This window comes from Homo sapiens, chromosome 8 (genome assembly GCF_000001405.40).
Source record: "Homo sapiens chromosome 8, GRCh38.p14 Primary Assembly".
Lineage (NCBI taxonomy): Eukaryota > Metazoa > Chordata > Mammalia > Primates > Hominidae > Homo > Homo sapiens.
This window is the reverse complement of record NC_000008.11, coordinates 334,149-352,484: the sequence shown is the minus strand read 5'-3', so window position 1 is coordinate 352,484 and position 18,336 is coordinate 334,149. Positions and strand designations below refer to the sequence as shown.

The following is an 18,336-nucleotide window of genomic DNA, read 5'->3' as shown; positions in this document are numbered from 1 at the left end:
GTTTCTCGAAGGTGTTAGGTTTTCATAGAGATAAAAATTTAAGTGAAAAATAGCAAGCACATTAATGAAAGTGCTAGTACCTACATGGAAGTCTTATAAAAGTAAAATAATTTTAAATTGTCATAAAAACATTTAAACTTATTCACATAATTAACTCTTATTTATATGTGCATTTTATGAGCTTCTCAATTTCTTTATGGGTGTAGATAGCACATAATTACAAACCAGTCAATTATTAATTAACTATGGTATTTCCTGCCATTCATTATTCTGAGAAATGCTTTCTTAAATATTGTTCTAGTCAATCCAGCCCATAATGATCCGGTCAGAATAAATGTTACCCAGTGTTGAAGGTACTCTACACAGCAAAAAATCTGTTCTTTAACTCCTTATTAGTAAAATACACACAAAAAATTCACCATTTTGATATGTGGAGTTCAGTGGCATTTTGTATATTCATGATGTTGTGCAATCTTCACTACTATCTAGTTTCAGAATTTCCAAGAGAAAACTCTGAACCCATTCATGGTCACTCCCCACCTTCCCCAGCCCTGGTCGCCACAGGGTTGCTTTCTTTCACTATGGATTTGCCCATTCTGGACTTTTCACGTGAATGGAACTGTATAATATGTGGTCTTTCATGTCTGGCTTCTTTGACTTAATATAATGTTTTCAAGGTTCATCCACGTTGTAGCATGTTTCAGAACATTACATTAACTTTGCAATGAAATTGTCCAGACATATAGAGAGCCTTTCTGCCTATCTACCTACCTATCTTCCTGCCAATCTATTAATAATTACCTACCTGACTACCTACCTGCCTACCTATCTACCTACCTACCATACCTTCTACCTACCTGCCTACCTACCTAGCTACCTACGTACCTGCCTATCTGTACACTTACCTACCTGCCTCTCTACCTGCATACCTATCTAGCCACCTACCTATCTACTTGCCTACTTACCTACCTGCCTATAAAACTGCCTACCTACTTACCTACCTATCTACCTACCTGCTTATCTACCTACCTATCTGTATATCTACCTACCTGCTTATCTACCTACCTATCTATCTACTTACCTATCATGCTGTTTATCTACCTACCTACCTATCTGTTGTCTACCTACCTATCTACCTATCTGCCTGCCTACCTACTTATCTACCATACCTATTTACCTACCTGCCTACCTATCTACCTACATACCTCCTACCTACCTGACTACCAGATTATCTGCCTACCTACCTGCCTATCTACCTACCTAGCTACCAACCTATCTACCTACCTACCTGCCTGTCTACCCACCTATCTACCTACTTGCCTATCTACCTACCTAACTCCCTATCTACCTACCTACCATACGTACCATGCCTACCTATCTACCTACCTATCTGCTGCCTGCCTATCTACCTACCTACCTACCTATCTGCTGCTTGCCTATCTACCTACCTACCTACCTACCTACCTATGTACCTACTTACTTGCCTGTGCATCTACCTACCTACTCACCTACCAGTCTGTCTACTCACCTGACTACCTATCTACTACTTACCTACCTACCTATCTACCTACCTACCTGTCTACCTGCCAAGCTACCTACCTACCTACTTGCCTATCTACCCACCCTCCTACCTACTTACCTACCTACTTACCTGCTTGTCTACTTACCTGCCTGCCTACCTACCCACCTGCCTATCTACTTGCCTATCTATCTAGCTTCTTACCTATCTACTCACCTAGCACCTACCCATCTACTACCTGTCTACCTGCCTATCTACCTTCCTACCTGCTTTCCTATCTACCTACCTACCTGTCTACCTGCCTATCTACCTACCTACCTGCTTTCCTATCTACCTACCTACCTGTGTACCTGACTATCTACCTACCTACCTGCCTGCCTTCTTATTTACCTACCTACTTACCTGCCTGCCTATCTACCTACTTACCTCCCTGCCTGCCATCTAGCCACCTACCTACCTACTTACCTATCTACCTGCCTACCATCTAGCCACCTACCTATCTACCTGCTACCTACTTATCTACCTGCTTACATATCTAGCCACCTACCTATATACCCACCTAGCTAACTACCTATCTACCTACCTGCCTACCTGCCTATCTACCTCCCTACCTGCCTATCTATCTACCTATCTACCTACTTATGTACCTACCTGCCTACCTATCTACCTACCTACCTGCCTACGTGCCTGCCTACTTGCCTGCTTACTTATCTGTCTACCCATCTAGCCACCTACCTATCCACCTGCCTACCTACTTACTTACCTATCTACCTGCCTACCTAATTAGTAAAATAGAATTCAGTTTATTTTATTTCTGAATGGCTAACCACATATCCCCAAACTACTGAGCCATCCGTTGCCCCTCCAGTGATTAGAACTGATGTTTTATCTCGTACTCAATTCCTTCATGCACTTGGGAGTGTTTCTTTGATGCCTGTTAACTGAATCCATTCAGAGATCCTAGGCCATCCCTAAATCCACATGGGATGCTTCGCTGGAGGCCATGTCCTTACTCACAGCTTCCCCCTCCTTTGCCCCATCATGGCCCTTCCTCTGCTGGGCTCCCTGCAGCTCATGAAGAAGCCGCCCCTGCAGGTTGGGTCTTCCCTCCATGGGCTCTGCATAGCTTCTCTCTGTCCCTGTCCCATCCAGCCTCAGGCATCAGGGCAGAGGCCTCCGAGCCTGGAGGATGTGGACGGAGGGGCCGGTGCCCTCGTGGCTCCCTGCTAGGACCCCTTGTCGCAGTCCCGGCTCAGTGCTCCGGAGGAACGTCCCTCGTGGCCTCTCCAGGTGATGTCGTCTTGTGGGTTCTGTTGTATGGAGGCGCCTGTGGCTTAGTGAGGGCCACAGGACACCTCCTCTCTCTGGCCTTGTGTGAGGTTGGTGCCCTGACCTGGGAAGACCAGCACCCACTGGTCTGGGTCCTCCAGGCACCGCGTCCCCACGCTTCTGCTCTGCGTCTGACTCATGTGGGAAAACATAGTTCTCTCAACCCTCTTCCCTAAAATGACATATCTCTCCAAAGCCTTCTGGCTCCTTCTGCAAATGGATTTCTGACAAACCCAGAATTGTCTTCAATCGACACTGAGCAGGCTTCAAGCCCAAGCTGGATCCCTCCCCTCCTTTGGTCTGCACATTGCAGACACACTACAAAACGCATATCTCAGAGAAGTTGACATAATGCAATATATTTGCACACACTGAATTCTCCATGATAGTGCTTAAAGTTTTCATGATATGAATTTGGCATCATGATTATTGGCAATGCTCAAAATGGATGTTTCATTTCAGATTGTACCATACAGATCGGTGACTGAAAGTGTCTCATTCAGTGCAGTGGTGGGACTGAGCTAAGCAAAGGAGAGTTAAGAGGACTATGTGTCCAAATTGGAACAATTGTGTGGATCAAAGGAAAGGTGTCCTAGTTCAAGCTGTGGAGACATTAAAAATGGAACACACAGAAGCTCTCCTACTAAAATTATATTTAAATTATTAATACATTATTAAACCGAATTAACACATTATGATTACACTTGGATTTTAAACAGATAAAGAAAAGTTTTAAATGTCTCATGGCTACAACTTAATGTAGCTAGGACCACACTTCACGCATAGCTCCTGAACTCTGCCCAGTGTTTTTTCCTGGAAATATATTACCTCTGTATCACTCTCATCTAGTGATAATAAAAATAACTAGAATTATTTGATAAGAGATTAGTGTGTTGGAGTCTGATAAATTAATGTTAACACACTCTGGTAAATTTGAAATAACGATTTTGTTCCTAGGAAGCTGTATTGAGAAACTGTTGAATGAAGCACTTCCTTCATTGTATCCCACGGAACACCAGCCCCATGAAATGCTTTGGGGAAAAACGTGAAAGGCCCTTGTGGCCGGGGACACCTGGTGACTGCCTACTGAGTGTCCTCATGGGTCCCTGCACATGAACACAGCGGATGCCTTCAGAAGTCCTGAAATAGTGTTATCTCACTCGGCGGTACCCAAACTCAACTGACTGTAGAAAATATTGCTTTAATATCTATTAAGCATCTATAAATTAATATTTTTAAAATCCCACTTTTATCAAGTCTGCTTCATCTTCTAAGTCTGCAGGAATGAGAGAGACCGACACCAGCTCGAGCTCCAGGCGACCCCACATTCACAGACTTCATTAGCGCTGGTCCCTGGGCTGGGCTCTGGGTTCAATTCCTCCTGATGAGATTGGCAGACACAAACTGACTTTATTCAGACAGGTTTTGTATGTAGGCACTGCTTTTTTAGGCATAATTGTGATTACTACTTTTCACATTTTAAATCTTGGTTTTCATATGGAATCAGTGATGTGTATTGTCATGTACGTGAAAGAACAGGCACAGATGTTTGTTTTGGTATTCAAGTTTTCTGTATTTCTTTCAAATGCTTCAATTTTCAAATATGATCGATAAACATAGGAATTAAAAGAGTAGACAGTGACTCAATAAAAGGACAGTCTTTTTTTTCTTTCTAGAATAATTTTCTAACAGATTTACCAGAATCATATGAATTATATAAGAAATATTTATTTTCATTTTAAAAGATGTCTGGCTATAAAATAGGAAAGCCAAACATGCTTGGCTATATAAACAAAGCGTACTTAGATTCAAATTTGTAACATTTCTTTTAAAGAAGTACCAAGCGAGGCTGTCTGCCTTGAGCCAATGGACTGGAGAATCTGTCCCTCTTCTCTTTTTTCCCCATCATCTCATTCCTCTGAATGCACCCTTGTTTGCCACTGGAGACTTAGTTCTGTTTCTCAGATGGAGTTTCCTCTGGCTCCAGATGCGTCAGGCATGCTTGGCAGGGCTGCGAGGCTCATCCTCCTAGTGGGGAAGGCCGGGCCAGGAGGCAACCAAGCACCCGCCTGTCTCTGATGTTCCCGCATGTTGCTGGCTGTCCAGGGGCCAGGGCTGCTCTCTGGGGCATCACTGTTCTCTTGCCTGAACTTCAGTCAAGAAACTTGTATCAGTCCCGATGTCAACGCACACAGACCGCGTGGTGATGGAGGCAGTTCTCCATAGGAAAGGGTAATCAACACAGCGGATCCGACGGTGGCTGGGTCACAGAGGCACGGGCTGTCTTCAGGCTCCCGCCCGAGGGCCGCCTCGGACGCTCCTCCCCGGGGTGGATTTGCCCCAAGCTCTTGAAGCTGGAGCTCTGAGCCCCTCACCTTCAGGGGCTGTGCCTGTGTTGTTTTGCTGAATTCTTCTTCTTCTTTCTTTGCATTTTATTATGTATTTATTTTTTATTTGTATAAATGTAGGGGGTGCAAGTGCAGTTACTTGCACATATTGCACAGCGATGAAGTCTCCGGTGTCACCATCACGCAAATAATGAACATTCTACCCTTAAGTAATCCTCCCCCTCACCTCCCCACCCTCCTCCCCTTCTGAGCCTCCAATGACTGTTATTCCATGCTCTGCGTCTCCAGGCTCACATTATCTAACTGGCACGCAAGAGTGAGGACGTGTGAATTCTTAAAGAGGCTCCTGCCCTGGCTCAGCCCCCAGCCCCACAGAGCCTGGATCCACCCTCTTCCCAGCTCTGCGACTGCCTGTGGTGAGGGAGACCCACAGTTCCCTTCCAGGCGGTTCGGTTCTGTGAATTCCCTAAACAACTCCACGTCTTCCGTCTTCCGGGAGAGAGTGTGTTATCGTGCCCCTGGAATCCACGCACAGCTCATTTATCAGCTACTGCTGAAACCCTGTCCTGTGAGGCTCAAACCCAAGCTGCAGATGACCTGGTGGAATGTGAGCCTCGGCTGTGGGGTGATTTCACTTAATTTCTCCTTAAATTGAAAGATTTCACTATCACCCACCAGCAACGGGCAGCACCTAAAGTAGGTCATCCATGCGGAGGACACTGGTGATCAAGACAAACTTGATCTGGGATGTAAGATAAAGCTCCTTGCCGCTACCACTTTCTGTCTGGCACACTGAAGGAGGATAATTAGATTTGCAGAGATTTGACGACTTGATAGAAAATACCAGCCCCTGGTAGCTGACACAGGGAGAGGAGCAGTAGAATGTACGCGGGTCTTAGAGGGTCACTGACGTGCATGCAGCACGCTTGACAGGCAGCCGGGACACACAGACCTGCTCTGCGGCTGCCCTGGAATGACCCACGCTGGCCAGGAAGGCCACAGCTGTTCCTTCACACGTCAGCCCCACCTTGTACCCCTCAGCCCTTGGTCTCCCCTAGCTGTCCCAATTTGTAGGCAAAACCACATTTTTGGACTGACCTGTGGCCACTGAGATGATCGGAATTGTCATGAATGCCCCGTAGTGGGAGCAATGGCCTTCAGAGCAGGGAACTTTCTTGTATTGATTGTTGATGATCCCCCATAGTAGCCAGGGCTCTCAGAGAAGCAGAGCCAATGGGATGTGGAGGGATAAAGGGATGTATTGCAAGGGACTGGCTCACCTGACCATGGAGGGTGGGAGACCCCTTGATCTGGTGTCTGCAGCTGGAGCCCCTGGAGAGCCGGTGGGGTTGGCCCAGGGCCTGAGAACCAGAGAGCTGAGGATGGGAGAAGATGGGGGGTGGGGGAGGCCAGCTCAGCAGTCTGGCGGTCACCCAGCCCTCCTCCACCTCTGTGTTCTATTCAGGCCCTCAGCGGCTTGGATGGTGCCATCTGCACGGGGGAGGGTGGGTCTGCTCTCCTCCGTCCACAGGTTCCAGCGCTGAGCTATTCTGGAAACTCGGAGCCCCACCAAGTTGACTTGTAAAATTTACATCACCGCAAGCTTCACATAGACATATTTTTATTATCCTCTCTCTCTTGTTAGCCACCCCTGTTGAACTGTCCAGGAGATTTCCTCAACTGTATCCTCTAACCACTCCACTCTATTTTCGGCTGCTGTGGGTTTAATTTTTGTGGGTTTCTCCTACCATCTGACAAGCTACTGAGCATGACCCGCTGATCCCTCCCTCGGCAGCACTCACCCTTGTCCCTGGCTCCCCTTTCCGGGGCCCCACACCTCAGCATTGCTGGCGGATCACTGGGCCCCTTTCCCACTGTTGAGCAATGCTGAAGCGTCTTCCCCATTTCCATCACAGCCTCCAGACCCCATAAACCTGTGGGAGCAGCATGGGCTTGGGGTCAGGGTGCAGAGCCCCACATCTGGCCCTCGTTCCTGCATCTGAGGGATGCTGGGGCCCCCGGCTCTCCGCAGTGTGGTCTTGGAATTCCGAGCACATGGAAGTGTCTGGTTGGCAGAAAAGTGAGTCACTGACACCTGTAACGTCCACCTGGGTGAGGCAGGAAGGCTGAGCAGTCGGAACGGAATCAGAACCCTCAGCAGCAGCAACAGGGGCTGGGAAACACTGGGAAAAAGATCTCGCGAGGGAAAAGGATTTACACAATGATCCCCCAAATGGAAACGTCACACACAAATCAGTATTTTGTATATAGTTTATATTCGTTTCACTTAACAGACAATCATATAGCACTGACTCTGGACCAGGCAGAGTTCTAGCGTCTTCACAAATACTGAGTCATGTCATCATCATTTTACGAATAAGGAAACTGAGTCAGAGAGCAAGTCACTTGCCCTATCTCAGACGACCATGAGTGGCTGAGCTGGGGGAAGGCCAGTGGGTCTCAGACCCCTTTGCCCACATCAGACTAAGGGTCTGGACCTGCCAGGCAGGATGAGGATGCGGGGAGGAAGTGAATTCCCAGGAACCAGGGATAACAGAGCAGCCAGAGGCTGGGCAGAGAACGAGCAGGAGCTCTGGGGTCCTGTAGAATAGCTGGGTTTGAGTCTCAGCCCTGCCATTAAATTAGCTCTGTGACTTCAGGCCAGTTGCCTAACTTCTCTGGGCCTCACTTCTCTGCTGTGTGAAATGCCTGGGTATGCAAAATGGTCATTAGGAGATCCTGTCTATAATACTCCATTTTTTAAAAAAGAACATTTTGGCCTGTTTCACATGCTGCTGGGTTACTGTCCTTGGTGAGGCATTTCATGGAAGCTTCCCTAACCAGCACCTGCCAGGAGCTCCTAACCTTCCATTTCTGGATGCAGCTGGGCTACGAAAATCTTCTCATTAGTCTTTTTCCCAATTGTTTCAGCAAGAAAGTAAGGAAACTCTAGTCAGTGCCTGGGCATCATCTCTTACACCCAGCAATGTCCGTTTCCGTAGAAAGAACCGGCCGCCAAAATCCCGTGAGCCTCCCACCCCTTCTGGGCCTAGTGCTCCCACGTGCATTTCCCCGAGGAAATAATTGTCTGGCACTGGGCAGGCCCTACAGGGGACATGCTGCCATTTTCCGTACCTCATAGTCTGTGGCAGCTTCCACCTAAAAGACCCACGTTTTAATGTTTAATGAAAATTTCAAATATTAAAAAAGTTTTTTTCTGATTATAAAAGTATAATATGATCATTGTAGAAAGTTTGAAACACACAGCAAAGCAGTTTTAAAAAGTAAAACTTACCCATCTCTAGCAAACCCAGATATGACTGTAAATGTTTCTGTGACTCTTGGATAACTGCCTGACAGCGCTCGGGAAATTTCGGATCAACTTTTTCCTCCTCAGAATGTACAGTGGATGAAATGTTTGAATGTGGCTATTTTTCGGGGTGTCATAATAATTTTTTTAAACGTCACACTGGAAACAATGACGTTTGTTTTTCTTTTATTTCTTTTCTCATGACTAATGATCTTAAATATTATTCTACGCATTTATTGAAAATTTATATTTTTTTCTTTGTGAAATGCCAGTTTATGTCCTTGCTCATATTTTTTTTTATTTGGTCCTGAGATTATTCTTGGGAACAGCATGCCAAGGCCCGACATAAAGTTTCTCTCATCCTAACCAACATACAAACTCTTCCCAAGCAACAGTCTACACAGAGACCCGTTCTTCTCACATCCTGGCTCTCTCTCTCTCCCTCTGCGAGTCCTCCTCTTCTTTTGACACCACTCACATAAGCAGTTCACACTTGTGCCTGCTTCTCCATGAGGATTTCCACTCTCTAAGGAGGTAGAGGAGTGCAGAGATTTATTTGCTGGGGTCACATGCAGAGGGCGTCGGAGAAGGCAGCCAGGACAACGGCCAATGTCATTGTTCAGCCGTCATTGGGACTGACATTGGAGACAGCGTCTTGGGCTCTGGAAGGAAGGGAGCGTTGACAACTGTCATTATTTCTAGTCTCCCCAGGGCATGCAGAACATTACATGCACCTTGCTAATGGCCTGCAATGATAAGATATGTATCAGTGTGAATAATCTTGCTTAGTGAGAGTAATGGGCTGGGTGACGGGGTCTGTCTGTCTCATTTCTATTGGCATAAATAGATCTGGGCACTATGACTTCCACAGAGGAGTGGAATTACAGAGTCACTGAGGGCCTAACTTTAGTTTTGGAAAGAGCAGAACTCTGGAGACAAGGCTGAGCTCAGGAGTGTTGTGTATGTTTGTGTTTCTAGCTGTCATAGTCTGAATGCTGGGTCCCCCAAGTTTATCTGTTGAAATCCAAATCCCCGAGGTGCTGATACTAGGACCAGGGGCTTTGGGAGGTGATTACGCCCTGAGAATGGAGCCCCGATGAGTGGGATTGGAGGCCAAGGGAGCTTTTTGGCCTGTCCCCCTTAAGAAGTAAGAAGGTGTCTTCCGTGAACCAGGAAGCAATCCCCGCCCCCGCCCCCACCCACCCCTCACCAGACACCGAATCCCTCAGGGCTTTGATCTTGCACTTCCAGCCTCCAGAACTGTGAGAAATCAATGCATGCACAAGTCACCCAGGTTATGGCTGAATGTTACAGCAATGAATGGACTAAGACAGTGCCCATGTGATGCCTGACTTTACTGCAGACACCTGTACTCTCTCCTGCAGCGTCCTCACTGGCACCATCCCCCCAAGGTGGAGTGGAGGAACGTTGTCACCATCTGGCACAGACATTGTCACTGTCATGGATGGGCAGTCGGCCACCAAAGTGTCTGGTGCCAGCAGTTGCACCCCTAAACTCCCCTGATGATGGGGCCGAGGGATGCATCGGGGGCAGTTCTACGGTTAACTAGGCTGGCAGTCTCGGCCCCTCGGCATCTTGGTGCCCATCTCCGTATGTGCTTTTATTTCTATGAGATAAATTATCAGGGGTCAGGTCACGGGTATGAAGGGTATGTCATTTATAATTTTAATATATCTTGCCACACTCTTTTCAAAAGATTGCAAAAATTTGTTTTTTCACAAGGAATGTTTGAGAACTTCCTTTTTCTTTCACGTCTTGCAGCTATATAGGTTACGACACTTCTTAATATTTCTCAACCTGATAGATAATATTTTAATTTGAGTTTTCCCTAAATTCCAGGTAGGATGAACATTTGTTCATATGTTTTATAGGATTATTAGTTGTGTGTTCCTTTCTTTAAATAACCTATGCTTATGCTTTACACATTTTTCTCTTGTTTCTTGACAATTTTGATTTTTGGTCATTTTAAGATATCTTTATATATGGCAGATATTAACCCATGGTGGTCATCAGAATTGCACATTTTCTTCCAAAACGCCAGTCCGTCAGTTGACTCCATTTGACGTGAGGCTTGCACTCTTTAAAAGTTTCACTGCTTTTACTGGAATCACAGTTTAGGATGACAGGGGCCCTTTGCGGATGTCTTGGATCCACCTCTGTCTTCATTGCAGCCGCGTGGCTGCTTCTCCCTGGATTCTTCTCCTTGGTCTGCAACTCGTGTGGCTCCACCCCAGCCTCCTCTCCACTTTCCAGACAGGTCTGAATCATGGGGAACATATTAAGCAATGTTCATTCTCCAATTAATATTAAGTGTCCACAGCTGTGGCCAGGTTCTGTGCAGTGTTGTGAGACCATGACGGAGACGGCCTCTGAGTCTGATGTGCAGTGTTGTGGGACCATGATGGAGGGGGCCTCTGAATGATGGAGATGGCCTCTGAGTCTGATGTGCAATATAGTGTTGTGAGACCATGGTGGAGATGGCCTCTGAGTCTGATGTGCAGTGTTGGGAGACCATGATAGAGACGGCCTCTGAATGACGGAGACGGCCTCTGAATGACGGAGACGGCCTCTGAGTCTGATGTGCAGTGTTGGGAGACCATGATAGAGACGGCCTCTGAGTCTGATGTGCAGTGTTGGGAGACCATGATAGAGACGGCCTCTGAGTCTGATGTGCAGTGTTGGGAGACCATGATAGAGATGGCCTCTGAGTCTGACGTGCAATATAGTGTTGTGAGACCATGGTGGAGATGGCCTCTGAGTCTGATGTGCAGTGTTGGGAGACCATGATAGAGACGGCCTCTGAGTCTGATGTGCAGTGTTGGGAGACCATGATAGAGATGGCCTCTGAGTCTGATGTGCAATATAGTGTTGTGAGACCATGGTGGAGATGGCCTCTGAGTCTGATGTGCAGTGTTGGGAGACCATGATAGAGACGGCCTCTGAGTCTGATGTGCAGTGTTGGGAGACCATGATAGAGACGGCCTCTGAGTCTGATGTGCAGTGTTGGGAGACCATGATAGAGATGGCCTCTGAGTCTGATGTGCAATATAGTGTTGTGAGACCATGGTGGAGACAGCCTCTGAGTCTGATGTGCAGTGTCGTGAGACCATGACGGAGACGGCCTCTGAGTCTGAGTCTCCGGGGGTAGAGAGGACTCATCGTGGTGCACACATGGTGAGGGGCGGAAACCCTCACAGAACACAGCCCAGGGGAAGAGCTGCACAGTTTTCCAGTAAATGTCTGATGAGCATTTTGCCCATTGATCTGTCAATGGACACTTAGATTGTGTCCGTATCCTGGCCACTGTGATGAGTGCTGCAGTCAACACCGGGCTGTGGACATCTCTTCTGAGGACAGATTTCCTTCCTTCTGGTCCACACACAACGGAGCACTCTTCCGCCTTAGAATAAGGAAGTCCTGCCATTTGCACAAACATAGATGAGCCTGGAGGACATGATGCTGAGTGGAATAAGCCAGACACAGAGAGACAAACTCCGCCTGATCTCACGCAGATGGACGCCCCAAGTCTACAAAAGCTCAGTTATAAGATAAATAAATCCTGGAGACCTGATGTGTGTAGCGTGGTGTTGATAGCTAATAACACTGTATTATATACTTGAAATTTGCTGAGAGAGATCTTAAATGTCCTCACTTTCTCCCATCCGCAGCACACACACAGGTAACTACATGGGAAGATGGGTGTTAATTTGCTTGACTGTGGCAAACGGTTCACTACATGTATGTAAATCAAAACATCACCTTGTACACCTTAAATCTATACAATGCTTATTAAGGAATAAAAAATTTAATTAAAAAATTAAAAATAAATAAATGTTTAATGAACTAATATCAAATCTACATCCTTTAGGGGGAAATTGGAGTGCAGCACAGACCATGTGCGTGGAGCAGTTGCACAGACGCCTTCAGAGCCCAGCCTGAGTCCTGTTGGCTCCATGAGGCCAGGAGCCTGAAGCCACAAACAGCATTTGCTGCACAACTGTTAACTTTATATCCACATGAGAGTCATCTGGACAACCACAGATAAAAGTGTTAGGCTGGGCATGGCAGCTCACATCTGTAATCCCAGCACTTTGAGAGGCTGAGGTGAGCAGACTGATTGAGCCCAGGAGTTCAAGCCCAGCCTCGACAACATAACGAGACCCTGTCTCTATAAAAAATACAAAAATTAGCTGAGTGTGGTGGTGTACATCTGTGGTCTCAGCTACTTGGAAGGCTGAGGTAGGAGTTTCACCTGAGCCCAGGAGGCCGAGGCTGCAGTGAGCCAAGATCGTGCCACTGCATTCCAGCCTGGGTGACAGAGCAAGACCCTGTCCAAAAAAAAAAAAAAAAAAATGAGAGAACTGCCCTGTCCAAAGCATGTGATCAGCACTGTTATTGTTTGAGATAATTTAGAAATGTGACACATTTAATGGAGGTGAATATCAGTGTGAAAAATGAGACAAAGAAGAGAGGGGCCTGGACTTGCAGGGCTGGAGAATGTTGCAGATCCAATCATGAAGCTGGCAGGAGAGTCGGGCGAAGAGTGGTTTAATTAAATCACTGTCTCTCCGTTTAAGAACCTGCATGGAGCCAGGCCACTGTCAGCACTGAACCCTCAGGAGCGAGGTTCGCCGGGAAGGCCACTCTCACTCAGCTTCCTTCCTGTGCCCAGATTCCCTCGAGCTGTGTGTCGGGAACGTCAGTAATGCGTGACATCAAGGTGGGGAGTTTGGCCCAGGGACCCCTGACCGCTGTGCTGACTCTCCATCTCTCTGTCTGAAACAAGGCCTGGAATGGGCTGGGCTTTGAACCAAAGTGTTTTTTAAAAAAGACCTTGAAGACCCCAAATTGTGGAGTCATAAGGAGTGAACGTCCTTTTTGAAGAATACTTGGTCCCACTCTCTGAAAACCCATTAAAACCCAAGGTCATACCAAGGAAGGTGGCAATAGGGAAAGCAAACCCTCTTATTTTGGTTGTCATGGTTTATATGATTACATCTAGTCAAAAAGCACAAAGACAACTCCACAGGAAAACATTCTGTAGATTTCAGAAAAGGATGACCTGCAGGCCCTCGGGAGGGCCCTCTCAGCAGCTCTGCAGCCTCCCCTACTCCCTTCCATCGCTGGGCAGCCCAGCCCCTTCCCAGGTCTCTCCCAAAGCCTCTGCTTCCCTTCCAGGGGAGGGGCCCGCTCAGGACCTGACCTTCCCATGGCGAGAACTCCTCCGACTGCCATCGCTGATGGACGCTAACCCACAGAAGCTGTCTGCGGTCACTCAGGGTCTAGCAGATTCATGAGAGTTTTAGAAAAATGTCATGTGCACGGCTTTGAAAACCAGAAGGACAGAGATTTCATCCTAAGTATCTTGTGGTCTCATTGCCTTGTGGATATTTCAAAATGGCACCCAGTTACCACCAACCATTTTTATGAAATAAAAAATTCCCAATTCTGAGTCATAATGTAGGTCCTATGATATGAATCTAGGGCATTAGAAACACTTCTGAGGGATCCAGCATAAGCATTTATTTCAGAGACTGGAACTCAACTTACCTCTTAAGGTAAATGAAATGGGTTTTATTTGGGAGACATTCCCTACTCCTCATGTTTTCACAGTGGAGAGGACAGTCCCAGTTTATTTCTTGTCTCGGTCCATTCAAGCTGCTACACCACAGCGTTCCAGACTAGGGGCTCATCAGCAGCACACATTTGTTCCTCACAGTTCTGGAGGCTGGAAGTCCAAAACCTTTGCATGGCAGATTTGGCTTCCAGTGAGGGCTGCTTTCTGGTTCCCCTGGTTCCTAGATGGGGCTGTGTCCTTGCATGGTGGGAAGGCCAGGGGAGCTCTCTGGGGGATCTTGCATAAGGGCCCTAATCCTAGTCACAGGCTCCACCTTCAGGACCTCATCACCTCCCAAAAGCCCCACCTCCTCACGCCATCACCCTGGGGGTTAGGATTTCAACGTAGGCATCTTGGGGACACAGACATCGGGACCACCGCAATCCCACAGAGTAAGATGTGGGAGAGAAACACCCCAGGCCCTTCATTCCTCACTGACCCCGCGCCGGGTGGTGAACTCAACAGTGCCATTAGTCCCTGCTTCAGTCTCAGGGTCCCCTGCTCCCCAACGTGTGTAGCTTCTCTGCACGGAGCAAGCTGGTCGGAGCAGGGGTAGGAGTGGGTGTGCCTCCTGGGGAACGGGATCTGTGCTCACTCTAGTGCATCTGTTGGTGGGGTGGGGAAAGCCCATTTTTCCTCTGGACCAATATGGCCTTCTCAGCTGTGAGGCTGACGTCAGGGTCTCCTTTCACCTGCCCTCCTATTATTATGAGCTCCTGCTTCAGAGGAGGGAGAAGAGTTATTCATTTCTTCCCTCAAAGCCCTGAAAGGTCCCATGGGGTGTGCCTGCCAATTTGGGAAAGAGTGAATGAGTACAAGACATAAATAATTGTAAGAAATAATGCCTTACTTCGAGGGTGGTCGGTGCCTACCGAATGCTTCAGTGAAATGTGTTTCCATTACACCCAGGAAAGGCTGTGAGGCGCTGTGCATCCACTGCGCACTCTGCCCTGGGCACGCCTAGGAGCCTTCGGTCCCGCAGAGGATGAACCGGCAAGGCCACACTTCCACTGAGGCCCACAGCGCCTGGGCTGGCACCAGCCTAGAAGCAGCTTGTTCCAGAAGTTTCTCGCAGGTTGGGATACATTTTCCCATAGCAGTCATGTAGCACAGGATATCAGATTCCCAGGCCAACCCTAAAGAAATAGGGTTAATCTATTGAAAACGGTGATGAACTCCAGTACTTGTAAGAACCTGAGCTCCTCGGTAAGCCCCACCGGGGACCCGGGGGATCTGGTCATGGGTGGGGCTCAGGCCTGGCCAATTAGCCAACGTGAGCAGGGGCGGCACTGACAGCAGGGGCCTCAGGCATCTTGCATCTTCCCAAAGTCCAGGGTGGGAGACTCACCAGGCCTCCAACATTTAAAGCAGGCAGCCATCCAAACCCCTTCTGGGGCCTCCCGTCACCTGTGAGGTGAACGGCAGGCTCCAGAGCAGCATTTGAGCATCACTGAGATTCGGCCCTGAGCTGCCCAGCTCACCTTTGCTTCCCCAGGCCCGATTCTTCTGGGCTTGCTCCCCAGCCCTGTCATCTTCATCACCCAACTGGCACTTGGGCAGAGCATTCGATTGTTCGAGCTACTGAAACAAAGCACCCAGATGGGCAGCATGAAACACAGCATTTACCGTCTCCCCTCCTGGAGGCTGGAAGTCCCAGATCAAGGTTGGAATCCGACATTTGAAATCCACAGCTGGGCTCTCCTGAGGCCTCTCTTCTTGGCTTGTGGATGGTGACTTCTCCCTGTGTCCTCACATGGCCTTCCCCCATGTGTCTGTCTGTGTCCAAATTTCCCCATTTTACAAGGATAGTTTATTGGATTAGGGCCCAGCCAACTCCAGGATGATCTCGTCTTAACTAATTACATCTGCAATGACCCTATTTCCAAATACAATCACTTTCTGGGGCTCTGGGACTAGGACTTCTGCATATGAATCTAGGAGAGATGTGGTTCAACGCTAACAGACTGTCAGATGTAGTTACCTTTGCCTGCCCTCTCCATGCAGCCTCACAATCTGTAACTCCTAGGGCTGGGCCCACATGAACTCACATCACTGGCTTTCCTCTTCTACCTGAGCATCCCTGGCCTGGGGCTGCCGGCTGCCAGGAGGCAGGGACGTGAAACGCTGGGGTGCAATTTCCACCCATGCTTCTGCTGAAGAAGGAGCTGCCTGCCCAGTTTTAGCCACCCCCTTCAGATACCAAAAAAAGAGAACATCTCAAAGACAAATGGGTGCCCAGGAGTTACCCAGTGTGGTGACTGTCACATAAAGCTAGCTCTCAGCCCAAGCGTACTCGTGTGGAAATTGGATTAACCAGTCCCACGGGTTTGCTTGGAAAAAGGTCAATCTCACGTCTGTTTCATTTGATCATTTGTGTTCAGGGTCTCAGAAATCTGAGAACTCGTCTTGAATGATCATATAACTGAATTTGAGGAACACAGATAAGGAGAGGGATGGGATTCTCCACGGTCAACCAACTGGTTGGGCAGAACCAGGGACGGCAGCTCTCTCGCTCCTACTCGAATCTTCTTCTGTGGCTCCCGAGACCAGCTGCCACCAGGGCTCCTCCTGCACCTTCACGGCTGCTCCTCTTCCCTGCTGTGGCCACGTCCTTTTGTCCTGCGTGTAAACACTGGTGCTCTGCAGAGCTCTGCCTGGGCTGTCATTCTGTGCCTCCTGTCTCCCAAATGGCCTCTCTCCTGCCCTCCCCCCATGATCACGCATATGCTCCCACGGTTGATCCATTCACTGTCAAATCCTAGTGAGTTGCCCAGAGGTGGACACATTTCAGTGTCCAAAACATCCAGTCAATAAAGGTGCTGCACGCCAGATCCCACACTTGGCTCCCATCTCTTTCTTGACCAGCATCTCTGGATGCTCTGCAACAATTTAAGACCCACAGGTCCAGTATCTTTCTATCAAACATAGGTCCACCTGCGTCCTTCCTAGTTTCCGCTGGTCACCAAAGTCCTGTTTACTCCTGACTCTCACCAGACTTGAGATCCAGTGAACTGAGATCCAGTGCACAAGGTGAGGCCTGTGGCCATTTTCCTTCTCGCCAGCTCTTCCCAGTTCACGGTGCTCTGAGCCCTGGTCCTTCAAGCCTAGGCTGCAGACTCTCTCCTTCCAGCCAGACATCCTCACTCCTGGACAGCAGGTTGCAAGCTCAGTTTCCCTGAAACACGGCCCTGAACTTGCCATATCCTACTAGGAAGCCTGAAGTGCCACTGCTTTGCCCAGAATATTAACCCAGACCTGGCACTGGGCCCCTCCCCAGTGCTGTGCCCCCTGAACTCTCGGCCAGGTCCCTCCCACTGCCTGCACCTGTCCTGGGCAGAATCCAGGGCCCTCGGCCTCCAACACACTCCTGCTGCCCCATGTGCTCCTCCTGCCTGCCTTGCCACCTTCTGACCTGGCACCTGGCAAGGAGTTTCAAATCTACCTTGCAGAAACAACTCTGTAGTTTCCTTGTGGGTCAAAAAGGCCAAACACTGGCTGTTGCATGAGAATCAGCCCAACACCTTCACGGTCCCTTTTAAACACTGACTCCTCTGGGAAGCCATCCCTCCCAGCCCCAAATGTGCATGTGAGCTCTTCCTCCCAGTGAACCCTCTTGACCTTGTTTTCCTTTCAACTTTGCATTGTCCTAGTCTCTGGGCTTACATTCTTCCTTTCCCAAACCATGAAGTCCTCGAAGAAGTGACTGGGGTTTACTCATCCTTTACATTGCAAGCAATTGCTTTAAATCCTCATTGAATTCAGTGGTATTTCCTTGGAGGAAAGCCCCTAACCCCAGGTGTGAACTTGTCCTGCCTGTGCTCTTGGGAAATACTACAACGTGAAACTCATCTTTTTTCATATCCTATACACCACTGTTTATTGCATTGCTCAGATTTCCAATCTGCTACGTAGAACGGAAAACAGGATTCTTTCCTGGCACGCTGTGAGGTAACTTTTTCAATTGCTCTATAACGAAGCCTTTTCCTTGTTATTTGAGATTTTCTCCTGAGACAGCTTTAACAGTAAATAGTTCACATTTTTACATTTGCCTGCATCAGTTGTACTTCCTGGCAAGCCCTTCCAGCCAGAATCCTTTCAACACAGACGCACAGTGGCCACGGCTTTACAGCCTCAGGCTGTGATCTTGCGTATCTTAAAATAATGGTGATCCCCCCGCCCCATTTAACGTCTG

General features: G+C 48.2%; 1 annotated feature.

The window, feature by feature from the left end:
- Positions 2,225 to 2,758: an enhancer, noted in NCBI's record as "H3K27ac-H3K4me1 hESC enhancer chr8:299727-300260 (GRCh37/hg19 assembly coordinates)". NCBI's record gives its function as "activates a minimal SCP1, AML or CMV promoter by ChIP-STARR-seq in naive H9 embryonic stem cells {active_cell/tissue: H9 hESC(naive)}" and the evidence as "EXISTENCE:reporter gene assay evidence [ECO:0000049][PMID:30033119]".